The following is a 7,321-nucleotide window of genomic DNA, read 5'->3' as shown; positions in this document are numbered from 1 at the left end:
TCTAGATATACAGTCATGTCATCTGCAAACAGCGACAATTTGACTTCCTCTTTTCCTAATTGAATACCCTTTATTTCCTTCTCCTGCCTCATTGCCCTGGCCAGAACTTCCAACACTATGTTGAATAGGAGTGGTGAGAGAGGGCATCCCTGTCTTGTGCCAGTTTTCAAAGGGAATGCTTCCAGTTTTTGTCCATTCAGTATGATATTGGCTGTGGGTTTGTCATAGATAGCTCTTATTATTTTGAGATACGTCCCATCAATACCTAATTTATTGAGAGTTTTTAGCGTGAAGGGTTGTTGAATTTTGTCAAAGGCATTTTCTGCATCTATTGAGATAATCATGTGGTTTTTGTCTTTGGTTCTGTTTATATGCTGGATTGCATTCATTGATTTGCATATATGTGCTTGTGTTTTGTCTCTTCATGTATTAAAAAGTATAATGTAAATAAACAATGCTCTTATGATTTCCTGAGGAAACAAAACACATAATGAGGTTTTAAAGTAATTATCATATTAAATACAAGAGAAATAAGGCAACAAAAGAGAGATTATCTTGATAAGCTACTTAATGTTATTTTTATAACAGTAAAAACTAAAAGAGATAAATTAACATAATTTTAAAATTAAAATAGTTTTTAAGTTGAGATGTGGAACTGAGAAAATTGCAATTTAAATTACCTAGGATAAGAAACAATTAATGTAAATGTATATATTAGGACATGCTCACCCTGTTTTTAAATAAATACCTACATACAGTTTAATATTTAAAATTGACTTATTAAAATATTCTAATAGCAGAATTTCAGTATTTAATTTCTGAATTATGCTAAAATAGCTCCATCAGTGCTACAATAAGATAAGCAGATATAGTTTACATGAGTGCCAAAGTTTGAGATGCTTGATTTGTTAACCCCCAAAAAACGGGGTTTATTTGCCTGGTAACAAAGAACTCTTCCTGAGAAGGCAGGTTTTGATCAAGAGAAGTTTTATTACTTGGTACAAGTAAGGAAGGCACAGGAACTATTCTCCAAAGCAGTGTCTTTCTGAGGGAAAGTGACAAGGCAGTTTTATGAGAGGGAAGAAAGAAGAGAGAGTGAATCATTACATGTAAAGGAGGGGTTCCAGTAGTGCAAACACAGTGAGTCATTATGCCAACTCATAGGTCGCATGTCACGGTATTGAAGCTGTAGCATTTCTGGGGGTGGAGACATTAGCATGGTAATGAGGAAAGTTCACTTGGCTTCATCTATAAGTTGCCAGGATCTGTCAGAAGATGATTCCAACCAATAAAGTGATCATATTCCACACAGTGTTTGGGGAAAAACAGCCTGCAGGGCATAGGCTCTAAAACAGGCTGATTGCTCTGGTTGACTAATTGCCTATAATCTCTGGAGACCCTCCCTGTCTGCTTACAGACTGACTGTATAGTTTGCAATGACTCCTCTGAGGAAATGTTGCATAAAAATAATCTTGTCACTTGGATTTTTTTCTAAAAAAATGAATACATTAGAATACTGTGTAAATACAATTTAATAAAACTGCATTTTTGAATGATTTAGGTAATCTCTCAGCAGTTTCATGTTTTATTTTAATACATATTTTTAAATAATAAGGTCTATGTCAAACAGGAAGATGGAACTACTTGTCTGTTTGAGATTTATTTTTTAATCATAAAATTCATGTAAGAAATGACTTCTTAGAAAGACAAAACATTCTTTGAAATTAGTATTCTTAATTCATTTTAATTTAAATGCATCTACCAGGTAACCAAGAATACCTTACATATAAAAAAATGATGAAGGAAAAATTTGATAATTAAATATACCATAGTGAGTTACAATTTTTTACTTCAGCAAATATGGTGCCTTACCGGATGGGTGTGATGTCTTACACCTGTAATCCCAGCACTTTGGGAGGCTGAGGTGGGTGGATCACGAGGTCAGGAGATGGAGACCATGCTGGCTAACACGGTGAAACCCCATCTCTACTAAAAATACAAAAAATTAGCCGGGTGTGGTGGCACGTGCCTGTAGTCCCAGCTACTCGGGAGGCTGAGGCAGGAGAATTGCTTGTATCCGGGAGGCGGAGGTTGCAGTGAGCCAAGATAGCACCACTGCACTCCAGCCTGGGTGACAGAGTGAGACTCTGTCTCAAAAAAAGAAAAAAAAAAAAGTGCCTTACCTAACTTGTACAAATTAATTCTTATTTTCAACCTATCTCAGTTAACAAAAATAAAGTACATTGATTACAAATTAATAAATTGCACCACAAGAGAAAATCCAGATCCTGCAGAACAGTTATGATTAATAAGATTAAGAATGCAATTATATAGACTCAAAAAATATTATAAAAAATGTTGACGTGAACATATAAAATGAAAAACTACTGAAGATCATAATTGATATTGAAATGTTTTCAGTCAGATATTTTAACAAACAATGTATTAGTTAATATAATTACTTTTCTTTTAACAATGTAGGTGAATAAAATTGGGAGAAAAGAGACAAGGTGATCCACACTGAGAAATACCGAATGATGGGTTCAGACAGAAAATCGTCTACCTTGTAATTCGTCTACTTCATTTGTTCATCTGTTGGAGTAAGAGGAAAAGAAAAACATACCAAAGTAGGGGTTTTGGAAAATTTGTCTTTTTTTTAAATCATTTTATGAAGTTTAAATCTCTTTTTTTATAATGTAAATGATTTCATTATTCCATTCCTGCATTGATATGGTTTGGCTCTATGTCCCCACCCAAATCTCATCTTGAATTGTATTCCCATGTGTTGTGGGAGGGACCTGATGGGAGGTAATTCGAATCATGGGGTTGGTTTTCCCCATACTGTTCTCATGGTAGTAAATAAGTCTCACAAGATCTAATGGTTTTATCAAGGGTTTCTGCTTATGCATCTTCTTTATTCTTCTCTTGCTGCTGCCATGTAAGAAGTGTCTTTCACCGCCTGACATGATTCTGAGGCCTCCCCAGCCATGTGGAAATGTAAGTCCAATTAAACTTCTTTTTCTTCCCAGTCTCAGGTATGTCTTTATCAGCAGCATGAAAATGAATTAATAGAGTAAATCGGTACCAGTAGAGTGGTACATTGCTGAAAAGATACACAAAAATTTGGAAGCGACTTTGAAACTGAGTAACAGGCAGAGGTTGGAACAGTATGGAGGGATCAGAGGAAGACACGAAAATGTGGGAAAGTTTGGAACCTCCTAGAGATTTGTTGAATGGCTTTGACAAAAATGCTGATAGTGATATGAATAATAAGGTCCAGGCTGAGGTGGTCTCAGATGAAGATGAGAACCTTGTTGGCCACTGGAGCAAAGGTGATTTTTGCTCTGTTTTAGCAAAGAGACTGTAGCAAAGAGACTGTTGGCATTTTTACCCTGCCCTAGAGATTTGTGGAACTTTGAACTTAAGGGAGATGATTTAGGGTATCTGGCAGAAGAAATTTCTTAGCAGCAAAGCATTCAAGTGGTGACTTGGGTGCCGTTAAAGGCATTCAGTTTTAAAAGGGAAACAGAGCATGAAAGTTCAGAAAATTTGCAACCTGACAATGCAAAAGGAAAGGAAAACACATTTTTTGAGAAGAAATTTAAGCTGGCTGCATAAATTTGCATAAGTAACAAGGAGTGGAATGTTAATCCTCAAGACAGTGGGAAAAATGTCTTCAGGGAATGTCATAGATCTTCGTGGCAGCCCCTCCCATCACAGGCCTGGAAGCCTAGGAGGAAAAATGGTTTCCTGGACTGTGCCCAGAGTCCCCCAGCTGTGTGCAGCCTATGGAACTTGGTGCCCTGTGTTCCAGCTGTTGCTAAAAGGGGCCAAGGTATAGCTCAGTCCATGGTTTCAGAGGGTATAAACCCCATACCTTGGCAGATTTCACATTATGTTGAGCTTCCAGGTGCACAGAAGTCAAGAATTGAGGATTGGGAACATCTGCCTTGATTTCAGATGATGTATGGAAATGCCTAGATGCCCACGCAAAAGTTTGCTGCGGGGGCAGGACCCTCATAGAGAACCTCTGCTAGGGCAGTGCAGAAGTGAAATGTGGAGTTGGAGCCCCCAAACAGAATTCCTACTGGGACACTGCCCAGTGGATCTGTGAGAAGAATGGTAGATGCCAGAATGGTAGATCCACCAACAGCTTGCACCGTAGGCCTGGAAAAGCCACAGACACTCAATGTCAGCCTGTGAAAGCAGCCAGGAGGAGGGTGATACCCTGCAAAGCCACAGGGGCAAAGCTGTCCAATACTGTGGGAATCTACCTCTTCCATCAACGTTACCTGGATATGAGACGTGGAGTCAAAGGAGATCATTTCGGAGCTTTAAAATTTGACTACCCCTCTGGATTTCAGACTTACATGGCCCCTGTAACCCCTTTGTTTTGTCCAATTTCTCCCATTTGGAATGGTTGTATTGACCCAATAGCTGTACCTCCATTGTATCTATGAAGTAACTAGCTTGCTTTTAATTTTACTGGCTCATAGGTGGTAGGGACTTGCCTCATTTCAGATGAGACTTTGGACTGTGGACTTTTGGGTTAATGCTGAAATGAGTTAAGACTTTGGGGGAGTGTTGGGAAGGCATGATTGGTTTTGAAATGGCAGGACAAGATTTGGAAGGGCTAGGAGTGGAATGATAAGGTTTGGCTCTGTGGCCCCACCCAAATATCATCTTGAATTGTACTCCCATAATGCCCATGTGTTGTGGGAGTGACCCAGTGGGAGATAATTTGAATCATGGGGCAGTTTCCCCCATACAGTTCTCATGGTAGTGAATAAGTCTCACTAGATCTGATGGTTTTATCAGGGGTTTCCGCTTTTGCATCTTCCTCATTTTTCTCTTGCTGCTGCCAAGTAAGAATTGCTTTTCACCTCCTGCTATGATTCTGAGTCCTCCCCAGCCATGTGGAACTGTAAGTCCAATTAAATCTCTTTTTCTTTCCAGTCTCAGGTATGTCTTTAACAGCAGCATTAAAATAGAATAATACATGCATTCTCAACAGTTTTTTAAAAAATTCTGAGTTATCCTTTCATCAAAACTTGAAGGTAAAAGTGTTCTCCCCAGTGCTATGACACCAGGTTTTTTTTAACAGTTATTTCTCATACATTAAGAAATGACTGAGACTGCCTGAATCTGGCTTTCTGAAGTTGTAGCATGTAAGTTTATTTTTCTTCTTTTTGCTCAGTTCTAGCCAAATAACTCTGTACTGTAGCTTTGGATTTAGTGATCCTATGCCTCGACTATAACATCTAAAGTGTTTAGATGCAACCTAATAAATTCATTTATGCAATACCTAAACTTGAATAGTTATTAAACAATGGCAATACTCACCTCACAAAATAAACTTAAATAATTTGTGTAAAAGCTTTAGCATAGTGCTTGGAAAATAGTAAGCCTTAAATTCATGATTGCAAGTTATTATTTCCAAGATGTTTTCTGTTTTCTCTTTCTGGAACCAAGGATATGTTATTTGATTCACTGGCTGTACTGCTTGCTTGTATTTTGTCTTTTAATTGCACAAATAACATGAATTGGTTATCAGAATTTTTAAACTTATAATAAAATACAGTCAATATTAAGTGCAACTTGACATGTCACCTGTAATCAAATGCATCTCTCCAGAGACTGTATCTATTAATTACACATTTGCACAACATGTATTTTATATGTGTATAAGAATATACAATATAATTCCTCAACAAAAATGTACAACTACACTTATGTGTTCATAATTTCATATACATATGAATGTTTCTCTTAGATTAATTTGTAAAAATTGAATTAATTATTTAAAAGATATGCTGAGAAAAAATGTACAATTAAATTTAACTCTCTTAAACCAAAAGTTTGTTGTTTCATAGTAATCCCTGTGAAAATTCTGGGGCTAGCAACCGACTGCATTTACTGTCTTTGGACTTTTAGGAAATAGAGCCTTTAAAACCTGTCCATCCTGTGCATTATCAACCTTTTAAATTTTTAACAATATTAATAGGTAAGTATTTATTTCATCATTGCTTTTTGAAATTCTTCACAGATTTCTTTCTACTTCAAATTATATTCAAGTCTTTTGATTATGTTTACTTTTTCCATTTGGTTGTCATTTCTAGTTGTTTAATTTATAGAAATTATGTTACATAAAATTTTAATTTGTAATATATTTCCTATCCATTATTTGCATTGCAAATATTTTCTTTCAGCAGGTTTGATTTAAACTTTGTGTATGGTGCATACACACACACACCTATCCTATTTGTTCTGTTTTTCTGAGAACCCTATTGCAATTGCAACAGTATAAATAATGGTGTGGTCAATATGTTTTGTTTAAATGATAAGTAATTTTTGATACACACTCTAATGATACTCATCTGGTTGTAATTAATCTGGTTGGTATATTAGATAATGAAATTATATTTTAAAATATTCAGATATAAACTTTGTGTTTTATCTGTTGTACATATTTTATATGTAGTACATGTATTCAAATTGTTTTACCATAGAGATTCTTGTGAAGGGAGAGAAGTGATCATGATACACTTACACAATATACATATTTAGATATATGGCTTTCAAATATTTTTATCAGCAAGTCTTTCCTTCAAGTAAGCCTATGTCATTGTCCTGGAAGAAAACAGTAAATCAGTTCATAGGTAGACATTTCTTTGCTGTTTAGCAAACAGTTTTAACAGCCAAGCCTTTTTCTCCCTGTCATACACGAAAAGCCATAGTTTCCTATTTGTTTAGAACCAATAAAATGACATTATTTAAAAATTTTAAAAAGAGAAGCACACTATTAGTTGTACTAATGGTAGAATCAATGTTTTTAGAAAAGAGACGGTCTTAAATTGTAATGAAGAGTAGGAATTTGAGAGTTGCACTGATTGATTTTTAATCTTGTCATGACTTTTGCTAAGTTGGTTAGCCTAGCCTCACATCAATGCTATCATCTGCATTGATAGCACATCAATGCCATCATCTACTTACCTCATGTAGTTGTGAGCATCAAGTTAGTTATTCTCCTCAGAGTGCTTAAAACCATGCATGGCACGTAACTGCTCAATGCATGTTAGCTAATATCATTTTTATTATTATGATTGCTATTATGATTAGCAGTAGTAGTAATAATGGTATTCATAAAATAACAAGTCCTTAAACATACTAGGAGGGGGACAACCCAAGACAGACAAACAAGACTGCAGCAAGAGAACTGGAATGTGCTTGACTAAACAATACACAAATTAAGAATGTAAAAAAAATGTCTAATGAGCACCTTCTATGACATTTTAAGGCAAAAGAGGGTCATTCGATAAAT

At 35.9% G+C, this 7,321-nt stretch overlaps 1 annotated feature.

Moving 5' to 3' along the window:
- Positions 561 to 1,760: an enhancer, noted in NCBI's record as "BRD4-independent group 4 enhancer chr5:120609330-120610529 (GRCh37/hg19 assembly coordinates)". NCBI's record gives its function as "activates an origin of replication core promoter dependent on BRD2, P300/CBP, MED14 and CDK7 cofactors, and independent of BRD4, by STARR-seq in HCT116 cells {active_cell/tissue: HCT116}" and the evidence as "EXISTENCE:reporter gene assay evidence [ECO:0000049][PMID:35650434]".

This window comes from Homo sapiens, chromosome 5 (genome assembly GCF_000001405.40).
Source record: "Homo sapiens chromosome 5, GRCh38.p14 Primary Assembly".
Taxonomy (NCBI): domain Eukaryota; kingdom Metazoa; phylum Chordata; class Mammalia; order Primates; family Hominidae; genus Homo; species Homo sapiens.
This window is presented reverse-complemented; position numbering and strand designations above follow the sequence as displayed.